The following is a 26,392-nucleotide window of genomic DNA, read 5'->3' on the forward strand; positions in this document are numbered from 1 at the left end:
CACAAATAAGTTTTCTGACCAGTGTGCCAGAATTTATGCTGCAGAGTTTTACTACAATAAGAAAACTGAAGTATGGAGATGAAGTGACTAGCCCAAGGTCTCATAGCTGGTAAGTGGTAGTGCCAGGATTTAAACCTGGGTGTTCTCGTTCCAGAATCCATGCTCTTCACCGTCTCAATATACTGCCTTTTGTTTACACAGACACCTGAGCTGGACACTGGAGACAGAAGATATGGTGGGCCTTTTGGGTTGAGTGCTTTGGGACACAGAGATCTGCTTTGGGCATAGAATGATAAATGAGTTTTTGATAGGAAGAGAGGGCTTGGAAAGGACACTCCACACAAAGACAGCACTAGGAAAACCTCTAAATAGTGGCTAGAGGTGAACTGTCCCATTCTTGAAGGTTCTGAAGAATCAGCAGGGCTTTGGAAGCGAGCAGATGCTGTATACAGAGATGCACGTTTTGTGCCTACAGAAAGACAAGGTGCAAATTCTAGAGTTTCCAGGGTCATTAGCCCAGAGAGGTTGGTCCTGCACACCATCCTCTGGAAATGAAACAGGGATGCTTGGTGTCACCCACCAAGCAAGACCTAGCAAAGGAGATATTTTGTTTCCCACACTGAGAATTTTGTATCTCCGGCAATCCGCAATTTGTCAAATGAATTAGATTCCTTAATAATCATTATTCCAAACCATGCCAGTCAGCAAATATTTCTTTCTGAACAAATATATAATTAATTCAGATACCACCTTTTTGACTCAAAGGTTTTAAAGTGCCTGGCTGAGGTGAACATTCAGAAAAAATAATGGTATTTCCAGAGGAAAATTCATACATAGCTCAATTTACAATATTGTAATAAGACTCTGCAGCATAAATTGTGGCACACTGGACAGAAAACCTATTTGTGTAGCGTGTGAGGACATAAATACAAGCCAAATACTTATACTGTCCTCACAAATATAAAATTTTCTTTTGTGAATCTATGCTCCCTGACACATATTCCAAGAAAGCTGGGTCCCATGATAAATACTGTGCCTTGAAGGTCTTCATCAATATCAACTCTCTTGCTCATTATTCAGTTACTAAATAAAAAGGATGGTAACAGAGTAACAAATAACAGAATGATATGATTAAAGTTATGTATCAACCTTCACTCAATATTCAGTCACTACCAATTCTGTCAGCAACTTCGTAACTTTTCTCTCTACAACTAATTATCCTATCCTCACTTCCTAGATTCTATACCCACCCACGGCCAATCATTGGCCTCTCTGCCTGTTTCTAGGTTCCTTCTATCCCTTTCTTTCATGGTTTCTTTTTAAGAGCTCTGTTTGGGTTTTGAATCTGGGGTTGGAGCTCTTCATTTCATTTGGACGTTCCATCCCCTCTGGGTTTCCACCACCCCTCCACCACCCCTCCAAATAACGTTCTTTCTAGACCCTTCTATAAGCTGTGTCTGCAGTCTCTTTTTCTAGAAAGCAACCTTTTCCTGAGATCTTTGTTCTATTTCTGAATACTTTCCATAAGCCTTTTATGGATCCATAATTTTAGCAAGAAAAGGGACTGGGTTCAGAAGCCCAATCTTCTCCATCCTTCTAAATCACCCCATGAAGTTACAGTCCATAAACAATGTTGTTCCTGGTAGAGAGTCAATTTTGATGACGCTCTTGAGGTGGATGACAATAATGAGCTTAAATAAGCCTACTGGACTCCATTTCTGGGAACCCAGGTACAAAGATGTTATTATTCTTATGCCTATAGGTATAATAAGGTGCTTGTGATATTACTTTCTGCTCTGGTGTGTGGGAGGTACTGCTATCTCTTGTTGAAAAGCAGACATCAGGAAATGGGGGTAGAAATGCTTGTAGGCAGTCATCTATACAGAATGAGAGAATGGGGCAAGGAGATGCCAAAGGCCCAGGTGCTCAGCCTCTGGCCCAAGAAGTTGAAAAAGATGCACCCACAGGACCACGAAGGCCAGACTCTTACAGACACAAGTCACCACTGCTGGCCTCACAACGGAAAGGACCCTGGGCCAGGAGTCAGGAGGAAGGCCCAGCTCTGCCATCCATCTCAACACCTGTCCTCATGCTGGAGGACTGAGCTTCTTAGTTTAGTTATCTATAAAATGGCCACAATAATATCTCGATGAGCTATTCATTTTTTCTTTTAAGAATTTATCAAAAACCTTCTGAAGCAGAGGCAGTGAGCTAGCTATATACACAAAAATATGAGGTTTTTTTTTGTTGTTTTTTTGTTTTTTTTTGAGACAGAGTCTCACTGTATCACCCAGGCTGGAGTACGGTGGCATGATCTCGGCTCACTGCAAGCTTCGCCTCCCAGGTTCACACCATTCTCTTGCCTCTGCCTCCTGAATAGCTGGGACTACAGGCGCCCGCGCCCGCTACTATGCCCGGCTAATTTTTTGTATTTTTAGTAGAGATAGGGTTTCGCTGTGTTAGCCAGGATGGTCTCGATCTCCTGACCTCGTGATCCACCCGCCTCGGCCTCCCAAAGTGCTGGGATTACAGGCGTGAGCCACTGGACCTGGCCAAGTTGATCTTTTTGTTTTGAGTAAAAATGGAAAGAAACTCAGCAAGCTCTGTAGTGAAATATCATTTGCATTTTTTCAAAGATGGGCACATGAGTATCTTGCTCAAGAATGCATATATGTTAAAGAACACAGATTTAACATATGTAACTGGGGGCTGGGGGTGGTGGGGAGGGCAGAGATGGGGAGGGCAAAGGTTGGGAGGGCAGAAATGGGGAGTGCAGGGAGAAAAATCCAGATAAACCAATGAAAAGGACTGTCCCTTGTACAGTGCAATGATGATAGTGTTCCATAAACCAAGGGGAATGACTAACTGACCTAATGATAACAATAATAGTAATTAATACAGCAACTAACTTGCTGGAACTATATTTTGTCCAGAAACCATACAAAGAAAACATGTATTGCATATTTAGTTAAGAGCAAATATTTTAAGTGGCAGAGCTTGGACTGAATATTACTCTTTTTGTAATCACTCTCTTCCATACCCCCAGCCCCCAGAAGTCAAAAGCCTAAACAAACACTTGTGAAAGTTGCAGAATGAGCAGATCTGGAGAGCCCTTGATACTGTGGCCAGTAACATTCACCAAACTACATTAAGGAACTCCCTAGATGCTAAGACTGGTTCCAACCAGATCAAGCTGTTCCCATCTTCTAAATCAGAAATGACCCAAAAAGCAGCTCAGTGACACAGGTGTCAACAAACTGCCATCTGCTTCATGTCAGATTTCTAGAAGCGCTAGAAATCCAGCTCATCCCATTCCCAAATATCAGCAAAGGAGATAAACGCAATGAACCTGACTCTCTTTGCCAGTTCCAAGAGATACCCAGGTCCCTTCTTAGATGGGCAGCAGGAAGTGAGCAAAGCCCAGGTCTGAAAGTTACAGTCACTAAGGTATCAAACAATGACATCCCCTTCAAGTATCAGCCAGAGCTGAGCGCTCCTGGAAGACATCTCCAGATGCTGGTTTCCCCATGCGTCCATCCAGCCAAAGGCAGTCCAGGTGTCTGTGATGACCTGGCACAGTGTAACTGACCTTTTGGAATCAAGGCTACCCAAGGGCCTTCCCAAATGTCTGGCTGGACAGACACATTTTGCCCTCTTCATTTCTCTTTGCCGCCTTGATGTTTCCCAAGTCTTGAGTATTGAAAGGAAACATGCATTCTTTTCCTCAGAGGGAACAAGTACAGCAAGTGTTGATCAATTTCCTTTCCTTTCATCTTTCCTCAGTGCACTCCAGAAGCATGAGGAAAGTTGTTTTACCCGCTGGGCCTGGGGTTCAAAGTTGATTCTCCTCAGTCAGACAAGACTTGGTGAGTAAAGACAGTACCCCACACTGGAAATCAACTCCCATTCAGGGAGCTTACCGCAATGGGTCCAACCCAATTCTAACAGCCTATCCTCACTGAGACTTTAAATGTGTTTGTCAGGGAATCATCTCCACAGCCCCATGAGCTTCCCTCTATTATATCCATTCCATGGGGAATCTCAGGCTCACAGAGGTTCACTTCCTCAAAATCAAGAGCAAGTTATGTGAATGTGAAACCTGGTTGGCCTGAAATCATGGCCCCACTCCCACCCCTGAGTAGTTTTAGGCACCAAGAGGGCAGAGCCTGATGGATGAAGACCAAGGCATGGCACAGGGAGGGTAGAGAACAGCACTGCTGGTTCTCCCTTTCCCCAGCCCTCTCCTCTCCAGAAAGGCCCTGGGCTCTGGCAGGTTGGGACACTTGGTCTTCTCTCTTCTTTTGCTTCCTCCTCCTTCTCTGCCTCTTGCTCACTCACCTACTCTTAACACTCAGCACCTTGCTCCCAGGCTCCTCTGTAACAGGGCAGGACAGCATCTCTGCCCACTTACTGATCCCAACTTCCGTCTAAGCTCCTGAAGGCTGAGAGAGTGTTTGGTCCCTCTCATTATCCCCAGGGAAATGCTTCAGTCTCACTATCAGGACCTGGGACAGGTCTCCAGTTCCCCAGATGAATCACTCCACTGCCTGCCTTGGAATTTACTAGGTGAAGGTCACTGACTCGGCCAGCTACCCTGCACAGCACTGCTTGGGAGCACTCCAGGGCACTGGCTGCTGGAAGTGCTTCCCGAGGCTGCATGGAACATTTTCACAAAATGTGGTACCCACTCCCTCTGGATGTCTTCTAAGAAAGTCATTTGTTTTTGCATCAGCCCAATTGTTCATGAAATGCATAGTAACAGACCCTGTGATTCTCCCTACACTGTAAAGACTGACTCAGACAGGCAGCTTTCCTGACCCTCTAGCAACTGGCTTATGAAATCTCCAGGCATCAGAGGAGCTGCCCACCAAAGCCTCCAGATGGCATAGGGGAGGCCTCAAATGTTATGGGCTGCCCAGGCCAGTTATCTCCTGGCCAGCTGCCAATGGAGAGGTCCACGCAGCTTGGAGGAGGGCAGGTGACAGCCTTATCCCTGGGCCCACATGCCAGCATCCATCAGTGTCCCATTCCCAGAGATTCCCTCACTCTCCATGCTAATGACGAATGACTGTGCTTCCCCAGTGGAGCAACACATCTTCCTTCATGAGGCCTGGCAGGGACCTGCGGCCCTGGGTACAGCCCCAAACCAACTCCCAGCAGGCCAGGGGTGACATCTGGCCACCAGAAAAAGCTGCTTTGCTCACCAGGCTCTGACCTCAAGAGGAGGTGGCACTACAGGTGGGCCTCCCGGCCAGCTGCTCAGGCTCTATTTAACATGTCTCATCAGAGGGTCACAGCAGAGATCTGGGGCCTGTCTCAGGGCAATTTCTCTGCCTGGACATAAGGCTAGTTCCAGTTCTTAAGGCAGGAGGTCCTGGGAAAATAGGTCACATTGGTCACCGGTGTTCCTGGCTGTTTAACCAGAGCCCTGGGTAGAGTCTCCCTGGTGGGACAGCTCTCACCAAGGGCCCACATGTCCCCAACAGACACAGTCCATCTGTAGGGCAGTGCAGGACACAGGCCTTTTTTAGGCCCTCATGTAGCTCCAGAGGTGGCATCATCAATCCAGCACCTCTGTTCCTCAAAATACAAGCTTTTTTGTGTGTGTTTTTCCATCGAAAAATATATTTTTTTCCTTGAGGCTTTTAAAGCCTGCAGAGCTTAGCTGTTCTGAATGTAAGGAGAGAATCTTGTTCTAGTGAAGGGCTGTAATTACTGCAATGTAACATACAGCATGGTGGTATGAGAATGCGTCGGCAAGGGAGGCAGACAGAGAGAGACTGAGAGGAGACAGGACCTGGGCTTAAATCCCAGCTCTGCTACTTCCTAACTTTGTGATATTGGATGCCTTACCTAACCTCTCATAGCCTCAGTTTCCTCACCTGCTTTATGAAATCTCCAGGCTTTGGAGGAGCTGTGTATTTGATGCACAGAGGTGCTCAGCTGATGATCTGTAAGACAGGCTATTAACAGTGCCACCCACATTAATTGTGATGCTACATAAGACAGCACCCCATCCCGGCGCACCTCCTTTGAACCCACTCACCAGCTTCCATGCGTGTTGCTGCTCAGAGCCTGCACCTGTGGCCCTCAAAGGAGCACCCCTGGCACCAAGCTGCCCAGCCTGTTTACACCTCCACTCCCCACTGAGGCCAGGTGCCCCATAATCAATGACTGACTAGTGTTGGATTCAGAAGCCCAGCTCTTTGCCTCTGGGCAGGATACATCTCAGGGATTATTTATGCTCTGGAGCCCCTCCTGGGATCAGACAGGGCCTCATTTGAATCTGCTCCCATGCGTGGCTTCTCCCCCTCCCTGTCCTGCTCCCCACCCCAACTCCGTTATTAGTTTCTTCAGAGAGCACTTCCTTAATAAATCATTTGCACGGGAATTCTAACCTCAGAGTCTGTGGAACACTAGCAGGGCAATAAAGCCTAAGTGCCATTATTATTGTCGCTGTTTTAATTATAATTGTGCTGCTCACAATGTCCCACAGGACTGGATTGATATCTAGGCATGGACTCTGCTGCACCCCAAGTGGATATCCAGACATGGAGTCTGGTATACCTCCAGGAAAGCTGCCCTTTTTATCTTTTAAATTTTATTTTACTTTATTATTTTTGGGAGGTAGGGGGGTAGTAGGTGGGAGAGCAAGAACCAAGGGGAATTTCTTCCCAGAGCTTTGGAACACAGGACCAGCTTGCGGCAGCTATTCTATAGCTTGCCCAGACCCTTAGTGCAGGGCCCAGAGTGGCAGCACAGGGAGGAGAGCCCCCAGCGCTCACCGGAGATGGCACCAGGCTTCACTGTACCAGTGACAGTCCTTGGGAAGGAGAGGTGCTTCTGAGGGTTCATGTGGTTAACACAGTCCCAGACAACCTTGCCTTTTCCAAACAGGTTTGTGTTTCACCAATGGTGAAATGTAACTCCCCGAAGCAACCTCCCCAAGGAACTAAGTGGCAAGAGAGAAAAGCCACGTTACTTCACACAGAGGTGGTGGCAGCTCCTAACGACTGATGTGCCACTGAGCACAGTTTTGCCAACAGTCAATTGAGCAGGCACACTTACAAAATGAGGGCATGGAGCAGGCACAACTGATTGGTTTCCACATATGTCTGGGACATTACACAATTCTGAAAGGCCGGTCTCTCTTTATCTGCATAAGGCAGAGGAAAGGCTCTTAAAAAAAAAAAAAAAAAAAAGGCAAGGTTTAAATGCCATACTGTTTCCCATCCAATTACCTCTGTTTTCTGTCTACACATGGGGGGCGGCGGGAGGTGCTGAATGTTCATTTTAAGTGCCATTTATCATCTGCTTAATTAATCACAAGCAAACTCCTACTGTATTTCAGGTGAACATAACATAAAAGAAATAAGATTCTCTTGACAAATGAGAATACCATATTTATAAGGACTAGGACTTTCTCCCCAAAGAAATGGAACAATTTTCACTGCAATTCATACCCCGGCCCTTGCGAGCTTGAAAGCAAACTTCAAGTGCTTCTTGCACCTCAGCTCAAGCTAGTGCCCCTCCATGCTGCTATGGTGAAAACTGGAAGGCGACCTGCTCACACAGGGTCACGTCTCGGTCCCTTTTTCAAGAACCACTAATGTTCCTGGGAATTTTAATGTTAAAACTCAATGAAGGAATAACGTGAGGTTTTTCACAGTTGTGTTCAGATAACTGTGCTATTTAAATGATCAAAGCATTACATTTGAATGGAAGACAGGGTTTTAAAGGCAACAAAGTAGAAAAAAATGATGAATGCAATACTTGCATCAGTTAATAAAAGCACCAAGTAGTCTAGAAAAAGGCTTAACTCCTCCTGAATGCAAATATTCTGTGAATACTTCGTATTTGTCTATTATTTTTTCATTCAAAAATGTCCATTTGAGGTCATGAGGCTGGAGCCCTAAGCTCCAGTGTCTGCTCGGCCAGCATCTCTGCAGGACCCTGTGTGGCCCCTGATGTCACCTGCCTGCAATTTTCTCCTTCATACAGTAAGTTGGACGAAGTGCTCAGTGACATCCCTTCTAAAACTAACAGTCTAAGACATCAGCCTTATTCAAGGAGTTACGTTCTAATTCTCCAGGCTTGAGAACTATCTTATTTTTAATATTAATAAAGCCAAATTAACATAATAATCTAGGAGTTAGTGGCACCGATAATCCAATGAAGGAACTCACCCAAAAGCCATTTTATCTGGCCCAAGAATGCAAGGGTTGACTTTTCTATGCAAGTTTTAGCTTTTAACTGTGTTTTCTTTAGGTTAATATTAAAATTCATTTATCTTCCCTGAGCACCCATCCACAGAAAGGCACAAAGAAAGCATCCAGACCCTTGTCAGGCTATGAAAGGGCAGCAGTTGAAATGTAACTGTTGAAATCTCAACATTGGCCATGGAAAATCTAGATGAAGGCAGTGAGGATTCTAGTAAAAAAGGCAGCAGTAAGTTTGCGTTGACCTCTGAGGCCCCCAGAGCAGAGCCCTGGCCAGGGCTGGAGACAGAGATGCATTCTTCACCCCTCCCCACGCCCTGCAAGTACTTACTGAGCACTGACTGGGTGGTAAGCACTGAGTGTAACTGGCAGATATGAATCTAGACAGTAGACATCCCAGGCCTCTCAGATCTTATAATCTGGTTGCCCAGTCAGCCAATCAGGAGGAAACCACAACCCTATATATAATACATACTGGGACAGAGGAAATGAAAGGGAGCAAGCAGGATGTAGGGGCCAGTAGAAGAGGGAAGCGGACTTGTTCAGGTGGAATGGTTGGGGGAGGGACCTCTCTGCAGCAGCAGTATTTAAGCTGAGACCTGTGGGATGGGGGGTCAACCCCATGCAGAGGTGCCCATGGGATCTGAGGGTTCGGAGGAATGAGGACCTGCGTCCCTGCTCTCTGGCATGCAGTCTCTTTATCTGTGATAAATCTGTCTTAAAAAGGTGGGCAATAGTGGAACAGGCTGGACACAAAAGGACAAATAGTTTATTATTCCACTTAGAAGAGGTATTTAGAACAGTCCAATTCTTGGAGCTAGAAAGTAGAACAGTGGTTGCCAGCGTTTGGGTGGAGGGGAGAATGAGGGCTCTCTGTTCAATGGGTATAGAGTTTCAGTTTGGGATGATGAAAAAGTCCTGGAGATGGATGGTGGTGATGGCTGCACAACAATGTGAATATACTTAATGCCACTGAATTGTCCACTCACGAGCGTATTAAAATGGTCAATGTTGGGCCGGGCACGGTGGCTCACACCTGTAATCCCAACACTTTGGGAGGCCGAGGCGGGCAGATCATTTGAGGTAAGGAGTTTGAGACCAGCTTGGCCAACATGGTGAAACCCTGCTAAAAATACAAAAAAAGTTAGCCGGGCGTGGTGGTGCATGCCTGTAATCCCAGCTACATGGAGGCTGAGGCACGAGAATCACTTGAACCTGGGAGGCAGAGGTTGCCGTGAGCTAAGATAGTGCCACTGCACTCCAGTCTGAGTGACAGAGTGAGACTCTGTTTAAAAAAAAAAAAAAAAGGTAAATGTTATGTTATCTACAGTATTTATTATCACAATTTAAAAAAAATAAGGGTGGGGGCAGGCATGGTGGCTCATGCCTCTAATCCCAGCACTTTGGGAGGCTGGGGCAGGAGGATTGCTTGAGGCCAGGAATTCCAGGCCATCCTGGCCAACACAGGGAGACCTTGTCTCTTAAAAAAAAAAAAAAAAAAAAAAGTAGGCAAGTGATCACAGCATTCTTCCTGGGCCAGAAAATGAATTACCTGCAAGCAGAAAAATGGTTATGCCTCTTCATAGACTTAAAGGTGGGATACACCTTCTTCCCCCACGAAGGGCAACTGTTTTGGGGGGCAGATCTTATCAGGTGGCACCTAATGCCACAGTGCCTTTGTTCATCCAAATCATAACTCCAGAAACACTATTTCCAAGGAAATTCCTTGACCAACACGTCCTGTTTACCCAAGGAGTAACGTCCCCTGAGCCCCAGCATGCTCTTTGGTGTATTCATGTATGTTTCTTTTCCCAAATGTCTTAGAGAAGTGACACTCATCCCTTCTTCCCTCTTTTTTTGATTCCCCCGCCACCTTCACTCCAGCTACGCTCCAAACACGTTTCACACTTTCGTGCAACATTTACATTTGTCACTAGATAAATGAACTATCTTAAGTTTAATTCTCTTTAAGTGTCCATCATAGCAGAATTATTACATAAACAGGTTCTGAAATTCATTCATTCATTCATTATTATTGAATGAAATCTCTTTTAAGCAATGGAAATAAGAGGAGGTTGAGAACCACTGACTTCCACTATTTTATTTAATGCTTTGAGTTTGATTTTCTATTACAGTTTATATTTCCAGTGTTATCCAGTAAAATGCTTTTTTTCTTAGCCAAAGACAGAATTTTCTTTGAACCATCGATATAGAATAGTTATCTATTTCTCCATTTATAACACTCATCATTATAGAAGGTCAAGGCAAATGCATTAGGCCAGGGTTTTTTTTTTAAGGTCTCTTTTCCTGATGAAGGTGAAGATGGTCAAAGCTCTCTATGAGAAGACAAATGCTCCCTAGGGAGGTATTTCCGGCCTGATGAGAGCCCCAGGCGAGGCAGAGAGCGGGACCAGAACTCAGGAGAAAACCAAAGCACAGCAACTGGGATGCAGCTGGGGAATGCTTCATGAGCCAAGCCTGCAGCCAACATGGCACTGGACACAACAGCATTCTCCCACCGAATGAGAAGCCATCATTCATTCAACACATTGACTGTACTTCTCTTCAATAAGCCCTGTGCCAACTGCTGGCAATTCCCCTGCACTCATAAAGCCAAACCTTTCAAGTGCTTGGTGCTCAACATGGCACAGAGCAGGTGTACTCAACACTTAGAGGGTGTTTGAAATCCAACTTCTAGAGGTCAGTAGTCACCAGATGGCTCCTCTCACTACCTGGACATGAGAGTGGATCAACGCACTCCACTTGCTGAAATTCACAAAGAGCAATGTGCTCTCAAGAAGTCGGCCTTTATCCCAAGCCAGTGCTCTACAGACAGGAGAAGGAAAGGGAGCCTGGGTACATGGCCTTCCCCAGAGCTCCCCTAAAGGTACAGGCCCAGAAACTAAAGGTCCTGCAGAAGCCTGAAGAATGCTGCCAGGATCCCACCCTCCACTCCATCTCCTCTTTGGGACAACCCCAGGACATTTGCTTCCTTCAAGTTCTTTCCCAGAAGCCTCAACAAATCCTTCCCAAAACCCCAGACTCGTGATCTACCAATCCCCCAAAGACATTTCAAGAGGTTCTGAAAGTGAAAGAAAGGAAAAGAAGAGAAGGAGAAAGAGAGACGAAAGCTAGATCTGTCTCTGTCTAAGAGGGGTGGGAAACAAAGCCCTTCCTTTTCTCTTTGTGCACCAATGTGCACCGTTTATCTGGTGACAAAGCTCCAAATGTTAACTGAATGCATTAAAGGCATAATAACACAATCCAGAGAATTATTTTGCTGTATTTTTAAACTTTCAATGTGCTTGGCTACCTACAGCTGAACAAGAACAGGTAAAAGATCTCCCTGAAATAAAAAACAAGAGAATCCGAGGGGAGGGGAGCAGGCATCTACTTGAGAGTTCACCGGGTTCCCATGGAGAAAAGGGCAATTGCCTGGTGCAAGGCAGTTTGGTATCAATGCAATAATTTCTGGATAGCTGCCATTGCTAAGGTTAAAAAGCAATATTACAAGCCTTCTATGATGACAGCCTACTGGGAGACATTTGTTGAAAATTGCTTTGCCTATCATTTAGTCAGCAAAAAAAACCCACAGTACTAGTTATGCTAGAACTGTGTTGAGTGTGCATCTATAAATGATTCAAATTGTAAGTACATAAAGCCCCCATACAGGTAGATGTAATCACCATAAAAGGCTAGAGCCTCGGCTCTGTTCTTTCACATTGATAGGCCGTATACATTTTCACCATATGTTGCCAAATAAGAAGCATAATTATAAAGAAACTAGATTCTGAGTTTTAAATTCAACTTTTGAAAATGAAATCAGAGTGACTTTTTTGTCACCAGGCAATAAACTTTTCAGCACATTGTGAAAAAATGACGCTCTACACAGCATCACACAGACTGACTTAATTGTAACTCTACCTTTTCTGTCTATAAGAAAGGGCAACTTACAAATTGCCAGGGGAAAAAAAAAGCACAAGCTTTTAACTAGACTGTCTCCTCAAGTCTCCAAATATCCTCAAAACATTTTAAAGCGAGCTAAAGCATGTAAAAGAAAAATAAAGACCTGATTATTCAGGGATCAGGGCAGTGTAAGCAAGTCTGAGTTAGTTTTCAGTTAAAGGTAGATTAGGTGGCTGGGCGCAGTGGCTCACGCCTGTAATCCCAGCACTTTGGGAGGCCAAGGCAGGCGGATCACCTGAGGTCAGGAGTTTGAGATCAGCCTGGCCAACATGGTGAAACCCCATCTCTACTAAAAATACAAAAATTAGCCGGGCGTGGTGGCAGCCACCTGTAATCCCAGCTACTATGGAGGCTGAGACACGAGAATAGCTTGAACCCGGGAGGCAGAGGTTGCAGTGAGCCGAGATCGCGCCATTGCACTCCAGCCTCGGGGACAAGAGTGAGACTTCATCTAAAAAATAAAATAAAATAAAAAGGTTAGGAGTTGCCTGGCTAACACTACATAGTCCAAATGAATCATTTCTTTCGTCCTTGTCTGTGACTTAAGAAGTAATTTAATTTCTTAGTGGTTTGGGGCTTTTTGCCTGCTCTGATATCAATGCCCCAGCTTTGAATGGGCACCCCCATCCCCATTCCTTGTCTCTATGGGCCAGGAGTATCTACCTGAATGCACACAAATAAATCTTCATTCCTACCAAAGACTAAGAGTTTAGGTTTGCCCGTTGGGTGTGCACAGGTGTGCATATGAGGCCTTTTGCCTGCAGAAAGGGGGTAGCATAGGCTGCTGGGGAACCTCAGGTGTCAGGGGCATTCCACAGACCTGCCCTCAGCATCACCACCAGCTCCAGAAAACCCATCTGAATGGTTCTCCCCAAGAGGCCCCACTTTCGGGGTCATTCCAAATCACATCAACACGATTCATGGCCTGGTGAAGGGTGAATGAATCGTCCAAGGCAAACACAGAGCTCGCTTTGTTTGGAGGCTGAATCCACAGAGTCAAACTGTAGACTCTGAGAATTGAAAGAGGCTGCCTAGTGCACCTTCGCCCCTGTAGCAACGCCCTATCTCAAAGCTGACCAGCTCCTGCCCATCTGGTGTGACCCTGAGCACATCCTCTTAAAAGTGTGGTTTCAGAAAAGCAAAGACAATTCCATGGGAGTGCGGGGCTGAACCCTCCACAGTGCTGGAAACCCCACCCGGCCAGTCCTGTAAGCAGTTATGGGCACCAAGGACAGAACAGGAATAAGAGATGATTCCCTTTCATTTTCAGCCAAGGCTGGGGAAACAGAGGCAGTCCCGGGGGAGTGTTGGAAAGTGCATTTTCTATACTTTATGCTTCCTTTGAAGTGGTCAAGAGAAGGCAGAAACAGCTGCCATCTAAGAATCAAATCCCCACCGGCTTTGTACAACTCCTACCCCCTCCATCTCTCCCAGGCCCCTCCACACACACAGCCAACCCCTCCAACAAACAACTGTTCCTTGGTCAAGCTGGGAAACTGTATTTGTCAGGCTAATTTTCAGAAGTTACTAAAGTGGCCTGGAAAAATGGAAGCCAAGGAGCCTCAAGATTACAAAATAAAAATAGATTTTTTTTATTATTGAGGCATTTTAAGAGCAATTATGTTGCTGCAGTCATAACAGCCATTTCTGCAAACAGCGGGTTTGGAAAATACAAAGGACCCCTGCCACCTCCACACCCACTCCAGGGGCTATTAAAGTTTGGGGAGGGAAAAGAAACAGAAAGCGTTTTTAAGACTTTGGGGTTTTTTGAGTTGATTCTTAAAAATCTATTAACATATCCTTTACCATTCAAAGGGAAATAAAACCAAACACACTTTGGGGAGATGAGGTGAACAAAACCACACTTTGGGAATAAAAGATAAAGGGTTTCATCAAGTCCCAAGTTCACGGAAATGTCACTAATCCCTCACCATCAATCACATCTGTGTTGTATTTTCTGATGTAGCCAGCAGAGAAGAACCGGTCTCCTAAGAGACACAAATCCTGCTTTTGTTGGGGAAATTCTGTGTCCTGTTACCTGAGAAGAGACAGAGAGGGATGCAGACCCTCTCTAACCCAACCTTGAAGGAGGTATTCTTGCATTTAGACCTGCTTCCAGACCAACCTGCCTCCCCAGATTACCTGTGCCAGCCCTGGACCTGAGCCAAGGAGAGTTAACCTTCTATAAAAAGGTGGCTCATGGGCCGGGCGCGGTGGCTCATGCCTGTAATCCCAGCACTTTGGGAGGCCTAGGCGGGTGGATCATGAGGTCAGGAGATGGAGACCATCCTGGCTCTCTAAAAATACAAAAAGAAATTAGCTGGGCGTGGTGGAGGGTGCCTGTAGTCCCAGCTACTCCGGAGACTGAGGCAAGAGAATGGTGTGAACCCGGGAGGCAGAGCTTGCAGTGAGCCGAGATCGCACCACTGTACTCCAGCCTGGGCCACAGAGGGAGACTCCGTCTCAATAAAAAAAAATAAATAAATAAAATTTAAAAAAAAAAAAAAAAGGTGGCTCATGATAAAACCTTAAATGAGGAGCCTCAGGATAGCTGGTGAGTTACTAATACTTTGCAGTCTCTTGACCTGCTGAATATGCAGAAAGTAGTTTCTAAATATCCCCTGAGTTTGTTTTACTATTTACAAATTGAGTCTCTTAGGTAAATCAATGTTGCCAAAGTGGACTGATAAATGAGAACACAATATCTAAAAATAACCCATGAATTCTTCCCCACCAGATAGGCAAGCAAACAAAGCCATTTCCAGTGAATCATTCCTGACCCCCACCCTCACCTTGCTGGGTCAACTATAAACTACCCCTGTCTGCAGATGAACCCAGTAGACACTCTGTTTTCTAATTTATCCTGAAGAAATCGAAAGGGAGTTTGAAAGGTTAATTAAAATTTCTGGTATAGATTTTGTCGATATGCAACTAAGTACACAATAGTTAGCCAGATCGAGAGCTGGGTTTCTGAATGATTAAGTATTCTGGTTGATACAGAATTACCCTACATCTGTGGATTACCAATGTTCAATAATTAGAAAAGAAACAAACCCACTGAGCAACTTTAATTTTTTTTTTGATGATTCAACCCTTGGCCTACTGATTCACACATAGCAGGACATCAATAAGTGTTTGCTACATGCCTGAATTAAGAAGATACATCAGCATTTAGGAGCATCTTTGCGCCATTGGTCAGCTCATTTCATCATCAATATCTTCATCTTAATTCCCCACACAGACTGAGAACCATTTCTGAAATTTCCACTCATTATGACTTCTGATTAAAAACTGCTATCAAGACACAGGAAAGAAGGCAGACAAGGAACAAGAGACATTTCCCTGGCATTTTCTGTAAAGAGCCAGGCAATAAATGTTTTCAGCGTTTATCGTGCAGGCCATACAGTCTTTGTGGAAACCATTCAACTCTGCCACAGTAGTGCAAAAGTAGCCAGAAACAATATGTAAATGAATGGGTGTGGCTGTGTTTCAGTAAAACTTTATTTACAAAAATAGGTGGTCAGCATTTGGGCCATAGTTTGCCAACCCCTGTGCTAAAGTAATGTTTTCTTTTCCTTCATGGCCAAGTATAGAAAAACCTCCCCCATTGAGCTTTCTTTAATACCTTCACAAAGAACTCCCTTTGTTTTAAATTGCCCTGTTAACTTAGCACTATCTTTTTTGTTATGCTTTCACAGCCAGACTGAGACACACAGCATGCCAGACTGCTAATTCTGTGTCCTTCAAACTCACAGCCTTTTAATATCTGCTTAACATTCTTGTAGAGCAGTGGTCACCAACCTTTTTGGCACCAGAGATAGGTTTCGTGGAAGACAACTTTTCCATGCAAGGGGCGGGGGTATTGCTTAAGGATGAAACTATTCCACCTCAGATAATCAGACAATTCTCATAAGGAGTGTGCAACCTAGATTCCTCACATGTGCAGTTCATAATCGGGTTCATGCTCTTATATGAATCTAATGCCACTGCTGATCTGACAGGAGGTGAAGCTCTGGCGGTAATGCTCTTTTGCCGGTCACTCACCTCCTGCTGCGCAGCCTGGTTTCTAACAGGCCATGGACCAGTACCAGTCCATGGCCCAGGGATCTCCAACTCCTGTTGTAGAGGACAAACTGATTGCTATATCAGGGAAAGGTAAGAGAAATCAGCATTTGGGCACTCAGATTTTCCTGCCTGGTTCCCAGCAATTCAGCTCAGGCCCAAACTTGCAAACCCTATTCAGTGAAACCTAAGAACAGAAAATCTGAGTTTGAATCTTGACTCTGTCCCCGTTTGATTTGGGGTGGGTTACTAAACTTCTCTGAATGTATGTTTCATCAGCCAGAGATGAAGACAACAAATCCTATCTCACAAGGTTAATTATTTTGACAAATATTTATTGAACACTCATAAGGTTCAATACACCTGATTCAATAACACCTGGCCCTGTTCTAGACACTGGGATGTGGGGATGAATATCACAGCCAGGGCCCTGCACTTCTGTAGCTTGTATTCTAGCAAGGAACAAGTAAAAAAAAATGAAAAGTAATTTCAGACAGTGTTGACTACTGTATTTGCTTAATAGGACTATTGCAACAAATTTACAAATTTGATGTCTTAAAAAAAAAAAAAACAGCTGGGCATGGTGGCTTACACCTGCAATCCCAGCACTTTGGGAGGCTGAGGTGAGTGGATCACAAGGTCAGGAGCTCGAGACCAACCTGGCCAACATAGTGAAACCTCATCTCTACTAAAAATACAAATAATTTGCCGGACGTGGTGGCAGGTGCCTGTAATCCCAGCTACTAGGGAGGCTGAGGCAGGAGAATCGCTTGAACCTGAGAGGTGGAGGTTGCAGTGAGATGAGACTGTGCCACTGTACTCCAGCCAGGGTGATGGTGCGAGACTCTGTCTCAAAAAATATATATATATAATATATATTTATAAATTTATATATTTATAAATTTATATATATTTTTATATATACTATATATAATATATATAATATATAGTACTATATATAATATATATATAGTACTATATATAATATATATAATATATAGTACTATATATAATATATATATAGTACTATATATAATATATATAATATATAGTACTATATATAATATATATTATATATAGTACTATATATAATATATAATACTATATATAATATATATTATATATTATATATATAATACTGTATATAATATAATATATAATACATATATAAATATATAAATATAAAAATACTTATAAATATATATATATATATTTTTTTTCCCTCCCACAGTTCTGGAGTCCAGAAGATCAAAATTAAGGTGTCAGGAGGGCCATGCTGAAGGTTTCTCTGAAGGTTCTAGGAAGTCACTCTTCTTTGCTTCTTCCTGCTTCTGCTGGCAGCACATCTCTAGTCTCTGCCTGTGTCTTCATGTGGCCTTCTCTCCATGTCCTCTCCTCTTAGAAGAACAACCAGTCCTTGGATTTGTGGCCTATCCTAAATCCTGGATGATTTCCTCTCAAGATCCTTCATTGCTAGGGTCTGAATGTTGGTGTCTCCCTGAAGTTCACAGGTTGAAACCTAATCACCGAGGCAACAGTATTAGGAGGTGGGGGCTTTGGGAGGTGATTAATTCATGGAAGCAGAGCCTTCAGGAATGAGATTAGGGCCCTTAGGACTCCAAAAAGGCACCAGAGACCTGCTTTACTCCTTCCACCACATAAGGACACAGCTAGAAGGTGCCACCTCTGAACCAGGTATTAAGCCCTTACCAAACACGGAATCTGCCAGCACCTTGATCTTAGACCTCCCAGCCTCTAGAACTGCCAGAAATAAAGCTCAGTTGTTTATAAGCTACCCAATTTATGGTATTTTATCGTAGTTTGGAATGTATGTGTGTATATTGTTTATGTATATATATGTGTCTGTCATTTATACATGTGTGTGCACGTGCATCTGCATATGTGTGTATATCTGTGTATTTTATATATAATACACGTGCACACACACAGACACACACACAGTTCCAGATGAACTAAGACATCGACTAACCCTATTTCCAAATGAGGTCACGTTCTGAGGTTCCAGGTGGACATGAATTTTGTGGGGGATACAACTAAACCCACTAGAAGTGCTACAAAGAAATTAAACAGGGACATGGGGTAGAGTTTCGGGGCAGTGTGTTGAGGTTATACTTTAGCCATGATGGCTACAGCAAGCATCTCTGAGGATGTGACTGCCTAATGAAGAGTGGCCAGCTACAGGCGGATTATTCCGGAGTGCTGAGGCATGCGTGGGCTTGGACAACAGGTCCCAGGGACCAGATGGAGGCCCGTGGAAGTGAGTGAGCAAGTGAGGGAGTCACACTGCAGGAAGGCCAGTGTGGTGACAGCAGTGGCAGGTCACGGAGCCAGATCCTATAAGCTGATGTGAGAACTAAATGTGGTAAAAGATCCCAAGAACTAGGATGCATTAACTCCTCCTCTGCAAGAGCTAAAAGGGCTGAACTTGTAATCCATCCACCAAAGAGAGTGGGTGGTCCAAGCCTAGGAAGCCCCAAACCACAGCAGGCTTCTGATCGGAGTCTGCATTAATTTATAGACCTCCCTCCCCAACGCCCCCACACGATACAGGTGGTTTCCTGATGCAGGATATTAACTTTCAACTGCTGGAGGTCCCAAACCTCCACGCTGGCCTAAAAGGTTTCATCAGGTTTGGATAAGCCTCAGATAAGGAGCTGAACTTTTGCGGGCTTATGAGAACTGCACCTGCAATCCTTCAGAGATTCACTCATCACGAACCTTAATCCATCTCAAATAAAACCTGTGCATACAGACGTGCTTTCCCACCCACGGCTGTTTAATAAGGAAAAAGAACAGCTTTGTCTGTTCTGTAAAAGCCTCCTCTATTTACACTGTACCCATGGATTTAATTTCCGATATTTACATTTTAATTCTTTAAGATATGCAGGAGATAAATGGATAGAGAGGCCCAGGTTGAGACACAGCCCTTTCCTGCAAAGCTACTCGCCGTGTTTTCCTCTCTCCCAAGCCCTGGTTTCCTTCTGTTGCCAAATGTAAACTGGTTTCCTTTTCTATCTTCCTCAGGGTGTCCTCCCTGTCCACCAGCCCTGGACTCTCTTTCTTGCCCCAGTCCTCCCTTGATGCTTCTCTTTTATTGTGGGCCACCCAGGTTGGCTGGTCATCCATCTGTAGTGGTTGAATAATTCTTTCCCAAAATTCTTCTCCCCTCGAACCTCAGCATGTGACCTTATTTGGAAATAGGGTTTTTGCCGAGGTAATTAAGTTAAAATGCGGTCACGATGGATTAGGGTAAGCCCTAAATCCCAAATGACTGGTGTCCTCATAAGAAAAGAAGATATCCAGAGACATACAGAGACAAAGACCATGTGATGATGGAGGCAGAGATGGGAGTGATGCAGCCACAGGCCAGGGAATACTACGGGCTGCTGAGAATCCCCAGTAGCTGGAAGCGGCCGGGACAGATCCTCTTCTAGAGCCTTCAGAGAGAGCATGGCCTGCTGACACCTTGATTTCAGACTTCCAATCTCCAGGACAGTGAGGGAATAGATTTCTGTTGCTTTACACCACCTCGTTTGTAATCCTTTATTATAGCATCCTAAGTAACTGCAGCATCCAAGTCCAGAGCCTACTCTGCAGCCATCCCTCAGGCATTTTGGCCCTAAGCCTTCTTCTCACCTGACGCGCTGCAGCCGGACCCCAAACCTGCCTCCTCCTCTGGGGTGGTCCACCTCTGACAGACCTCTGCATTTATCCCTATGGAGGCCACATAAGCTCTCTTTATGTAAAGGACTCCAACTGGGTGGGATCTCTTTTTCCTCAACATTTTATTATAAAGTTTTCAAATATGTAGCAAAGTTGAATTTTACAATGAACACTCATACTCCTACCCCCAGACTCTACCACTAATGTTGCTTTACCACAAATCTATACTTGCTTTACCACAAATGTATCCATCTATCCACCTCTCTATCCATCCAGCAGTAAATATAAATACATTTTATTTCATATGCATTTCAAAATAAATGGCAGATACCAGTACACTTGTCCCTAAATATTTCAGTGAACACATCATTGACCAGGGTTGGTATTTGTTTCATTTTTTTTCCTTTTAGAGTGAAATTTACATACAGTGAAATGCACAAATCTTAAGTGTATATTCGCTGAGTTTTGACAAATGTATACACCTGTATAGCCAAAACCCTACTAAGATAGAGAACACTACCATCATCCCAGAAGATTCCCTCTTGCCTTTCAAGTCAATCGCTACTTTCATTTCCCCAGAAGGAAACGATGTTGAGTTCTTTTCCATCATATTTTAGTTTTAAGAATTTCACATAAATGGAACCATATAGAATGTTGCCCTCTTTTGCGAAGGACTGCCTTCACTCAGTGTAATGTTTCTGAAATTCATCATGTTGTTGTGTGCAACCTTTTTTGCTTTTTATAGTTGAGTAGTGTTCCATTTGATGAGTATCACAGTTTGTCCTTTCTCCTACTGATGGACACCTGGACTATTTCCAGTTTGAGGCTATTATGAATAAAGCTGCTATGAAGATTTGTGTACAAGTCTCCTTCTTAGACACATGCTTTCATTTCTCTGGGGCCTGGGTGAGATCTCTGGCCCGATTATGGCACTGTCTATCTTGATCCAGTGGCAAGCCCCACTCAGTTTACTGTTCCCTTCAAGATGACTATGTAATGTACTCATAAAGAATTCAGACGAATTTCCTGGGTCTGAACTCAGATTCAGTCCTTCACTAGCTGTAAGACCTTCTGCAAGGTTTGACTTCTTAACTTCTACTTAAGTTTTGGGAATCTATTTCAGCATCTGAGACCTGGGGATAGAGACGGAGATTAGTGAGTATGTAACTCTTATGGGGTTTCTCTTAGTCAGCCTGATCTGCTATAGCTAAATATCTGAAACCACAAAGATTTATTTAGCGACAAATACTTATTTCTCACAGTTCTGGAGATTGGAAGTCCAAGATCCTGGTGCCAACGGGGTGGGGATCTTGGTGAGGACTCTCTTCCTGGCTTGCAGATGGAGGCTTTCTTCCTGTGTCCTCACATGGCAAAGAGCAGAAAGCTGAAGCTCTCTGGTCTTTTTTTATAAGGGTGCTAATCCCATTCATGAGAGCTCTACCCTATGACCTAATTATCCCCAAAGGCCCCACTTTCTAATGCACACATTGGGGTTAGGATTTTAACATATGACTTTGGGGGAAACAAAAACATTTAAGTTTATACCAGGATCATTCTGGGGAGAAAGCGAGTTAATGTATGTGGAACGCTCATTGACATGCCTGGCACACAGTAAGTCAGTTAGTTAGCAGAAACAACCATTATCTTCTGCCACCCCACAAACAATATGGACAGTTTTATGGTATGCTCACAGTGCATGCTATTTCTCTGCTTAAAGAGCTGCAATGACTTCCTTGGGCTTTCTAGAACAAGTCTAAACTCTGCTGCCTAGGTTTTTAAATAACCAAGAAAATCATTGTTCAAGCTATCTAAAATAACATTTTTTTTCTTCTTAAGGAGGTGGAATTCCATCCACTCAGGGGTATAATATTCATGCTGATTGGGAGTGCTGAGTCACTGACTAGTAGTCCTTGAGTAATGAAAGGAGTAATAAAAATGAGTAATATAAATGGGAAAACTCAATAGCCAATACTATTCACTTGGTAGACAAAAATCTCTTCAGTCACACTGAGAGTGTTAGGGGGCAGAAGAAAACAGAGGGTTTTTTGCAGTAAGCACATTGCAAAGGCTCCATAACTGGCTCCATCCAATCTCAACCCAGAGTCTGCCAGGTTTGCTGCCCTCTCAACATCCCATAAAAACAACACTATACTTGTTTTGGTCTCCACCTCCATTCAGACTGTCCTCCTCCCGCCCCTCACTCCCCGGAGTTGCCCTTATCCTGCCCAATTAGACATTCAGTTCCCTTCAAAACCACCTCCCAAACCATTCTTGTAGTAGCCTCTCCTTCAGGGGCACCTATCTGTAAAGCTTCCTCCTGCACTGGAAGAGGACAGCACCCACAGACCAACCAGGCTTGGGTCTCCAGTGAAACCGTTGGTGCTTAGAAAACAGAGGCAGTATCTGCTAAGTCCCCTGGGGTCCCTGACCATGCCTTGTACAAACCTGGGCAAGTAAATACTTGCTGATTCATTCTAAGTCCAAACACTGTCCCCACCCCCCTCACCTCTGCCACCTACTCCAAAGAATGGTAGTGAGGCAACAAAACAGAGAAAGATTTTTGGATCCAAGAATAAGGTAACATTTGGATTCACTGTCAACATGATCATTGATTACACTACCAGAGTTCTGCCTCAACCTCATAAAAGGACCTAGGCTATCAAATACGAACATACGAGAAGCATGTACATACACTCAGCCCACACAAAACACCGATTCCTCCGAGCTTTGTCCTCTTTTCCACTTTCATTCATCAAACATCTATTGAGCCCCTACTATGTGCTCAACACTGCACTGGGTGCCAGGGATTCAAAATAAAAGACAAGCTCCATCCTCTCTAGGAGCTCAATCGGGTGTGGGAAGCCAGATGTGTAGACAGATCATTCTGACAGTGGGAGAAAAGTGCTAACAGAAGGGTGGGCAGAACTCCCACTTGAGGGGTGGGGTGAGTCAGAGGCAACCTGACTTCCAGCAGAAAGGATTTGGGCTGAGTTTTGAAGAATAAGCAAAAGCAGCAGTATATCTATAAGGAGCATTGGGCGGCACCTTCTCAAAGATTTCAAAGGAAAATGTCACAGTGGCTGTGAATATGGTCATAATAAGACAGTAGAAGACTGTGTGGAAATGAGAGTCTGCCTCTCCCCACACACACCAGAGACAAGCACCTTGTATTGGTCCATTCTCACCCTGCTATAAAGAACTAACCGAGACTGGGTAATTCATAAAGAAAAGACTTTCACTGACCCACAGGCTTAACAGGAAGCATGGCTGGGAGGCTTTAGGAAACTTACAATCATGGTGGAAGGGGAAGCAAGCATGTCTTACCATGGTGGAGCAGGAGAGAGAGAGAGCTAAGGGGGACATGCCACACTCTTTTAAACCATTAGATCTCGTGAGAACTTACTCACTATCATGAGAACAGCAATGGGGAAATCCACCCTCATGATCTAATCACCTCCCACCAGGCCCCTCCTCCAATTTGATATGAGATTTGGGATTAAGGGGAGGACACAAATCCAAATCATGTTACATCCCCAGCTGGGCTAGCCCCCTTGATGGCAGACCCTGGCTACTTTTCTGAGGATGGGGTGCTGAAAAGAGGTAAAAGAACTCCAGGTAGAGGAATCAATCCATCCAAAGGCATAGGGGCAGCCGTGGATGAGCATTTTGAAGAACAGGGATCAATCTGGCCAAGCCTTATGGAGATGAATGGGGTGCGATGGGGGAGGGGTGCTAGAAATGAAGGCAGGTATCAGGGCTCGAGGAGGTCTGGCCCAGTATCCCCTAGAAGAAAGCCACTCGTCAATGAGTGGCCACACCCAGCCATCAGCAGAACATATTACCAAACCTACTGTCAAGTGTAAAGAACACATTTCTATGAACTCACAAATTGCATTCCAAAAGATCACTTCAGCTGCTAACAAAAAATTTGTATGAATCAACTACAATCGTATGTAATTCTCTGTGACTTCCAGCAAGCCAGACTCCAAAAACAATGCGAGTGGGGCTCTCAGACATCAGGGGTTCAAGCAGCCCCCACTCTCTGACTTCTGGGCTGAAGGGAACCAGGTGCATCAGAGGCTGCAGAAAGAATCAGAAAATAGGCTCCACATATCTCCACAGGCACCCATCAGCTGGCTGATAGATGCAGCCTTCACAGCAGGTCTCCAAATAATAACAGCTCTGGCTGGAGGGGACTGTGCACCAGCACAGGCATTTGGGAAGGGACATCAGAGAGAGGCAGCTGGGGGAAGGTGGCACATGGGCACCAGCCCAAACAGACAAACATGCTCAACCATTCATGAACACGACCACCCTCCTGCCCAAGCAGGAGATTCCCAGAAGCCTCATAATCTAGCCCGAGGACAAACTCATAGAGACTTAAAAGATGGCTCTATCCTGGTCCCCAGTGAGCAACAATCTCAACTGGGAAAAAGGTACAGAGGGTTTAAGCATTCAATCAATTAGGGAAGGTACAGAGGGTTTAAGCACTCAACAGCTGGAGTATTGTAAACAGTTCTGTTGTTTTGTCGCTGGCTTGCCTACGCTATGGGAAAAGCACAAATGCCTTTGCATAGAAACAAGACACTATGCAATTGGCCTCTGCTCTAGATAAGGCAAACCCACTGAGAAACTAGCAAAGCTAGAACTGGCTGAGAAGTCCTGAGAACAAGCCTGGGTCTGGCGTAGAAGCAGAAGGGCATGCAACAAACTTGTACTTCTACATCTGAGCAGTCATGTCTGGCCTTGGAAAGTGTCAAGGATCTGTGACTCTGTCCCACTGTGGGTAGATGAAAGCCCTTCTCTAGGTGTCAAGAAAGCAGACTGAACCCAGGTAGACTGACCTGAAGTCAAAATCCTGGTCCAGGTGTCTTACCATGGGAGTGGGAATTTACAAATAACCAGTGAGAGGAGGCTAGAATGATCCATGTGGTGATGGGTTAGAGTCGAACACATCAAGAGGAGCTCATGCTTAATTTAATATTTATACACCTGGTTATATATATAAATATTTACAGATATGTGCATATGCACAGGTCAGTGTACATGCATATACTTATTTGCTCTGTCAGCTAGGAGGGCCTAAAAGAAAGGACACCCTGGTAGCAATAAGCACACCTAACACCCAGATCTTGGTTTCTTGTATCATTCTTCAATGATCAGAACCAGGACTCCTTGGAGAAGTGATTGTACAATCCTATTGATTGTGGGATTACGGTGGGAAATATAAATGATGAGCCTGGAGCATCTTCTAGTGCCATAAGTATTACAGAAGTGCTCAAAAGGTTACTTTTGTTAAGGAATATGTCAAAGGGGCATAGAAGCCAGCTGAAAGAGCTCCAAGTGGCCAAAATGGGAACAATTTGAGCAACAAAATAAATAAAATAGTAATAGATTAGAACTCAAAGCATAACATAAATACCTATGAGTTCATATTGATGTAAGTTATTGAATAAATACATACATGAGGGATAAGTGGCAAGTCTCCAGTGCAGAAGAATAATTTATGTAGATAGGCAACCCTCAATGAGGTGGAGCATAACTCCCCACTCCTTAAAGGCAGGCTATGCATAGATTTCCTTCCAAAGAGTATAGTATGGAAAGGAGGAGGAAAGTAACCACACCAGTGGAGAAACTTGACACACACTATTTCAGCCAAATGATCAAGATCAACATCAGCTGTCATAAATCACATTGATAGAATGTGCCCTTGATATGATGTGACACAATGGTAAGAATCTAAGTATATATAAACATAGAAAATGCATTAAAAATCCAATATTATAATCTTATGGGACCACCATCATTTAATGCTGTCATTGACTGAACCACTGTCATGCAGCACATGACCGTACCTTATAAAGTTTGGGGGCAGATTCAGTGAGGAAATGTGTGCAAAATACTTAGCTCAATGTCTGGAATACAGGGGCACACAAATACTAGCATTATTATTATCCCAATAAAAATTTTAAAAGGGGCCGGGCACGGTGACTCACACCTGTAATCCCAACACTTTAGGAGGCCAAGGTGGGTGGATCACGAGGTCAGGAGATCAAGACCATCTCGCCAACAAGGTGAAACCCCATTTCTAGTAAAAATAAAAAAATTAGCTGGGCGTAGCGGCACGTGCCTGTAATCCCAGATACTCAGGAGGCTGAGGCAGGAGAATCACTTCAACCTGGGAGGCAGAGGTTGCAGTGAGCTGAGAACGCACCACTGCACTCTAGCCTGGCGACAGAGCTAGACTTCATCTCAAAAAAGAAAGGAAAAAAAAAAGATATATATATATATATATATATATATATATTCTTTAAAAGGACAAACTGCTCTTCTTTTATAGCCACGACTTCAACAAAAAAATCTAAAAGTTTCCTTCTTTCCTGATAAGGAATTTTGAAAGACAAGTTAGCGGTGGGAGACCCTTTAAAACCTCACCCCAAACTCATGCCCTCAGATGGGAG

At 44.2% G+C, this 26,392-nt stretch overlaps 1 protein-coding gene and 1 non-coding gene across 13 annotated transcripts in view; both read right to left on the reverse strand.

Moving 5' to 3' along the window:
- The window catches only part of GFRA1 (GDNF family receptor alpha 1), a 217,781-nt gene that overhangs the window by 122,464 nt on the left and 68,925 nt on the right, over positions 1–26,392 (reverse strand). The gene's annotated exons all lie outside the window — the stretch shown is intronic.
- On the reverse strand, positions 15,344–15,401 carry SNORD158 (small nucleolar RNA, C/D box 158). Its single transcript, NR_145811.1, has one exon. It is a non-coding gene; the product is annotated as a small nucleolar RNA, C/D box 158 (small nucleolar RNA).

Source organism: Homo sapiens, chromosome 10 (assembly GCF_000001405.40).
Source record: "Homo sapiens chromosome 10, GRCh38.p14 Primary Assembly".
Classification (NCBI taxonomy): domain Eukaryota; kingdom Metazoa; phylum Chordata; class Mammalia; order Primates; family Hominidae; genus Homo; species Homo sapiens.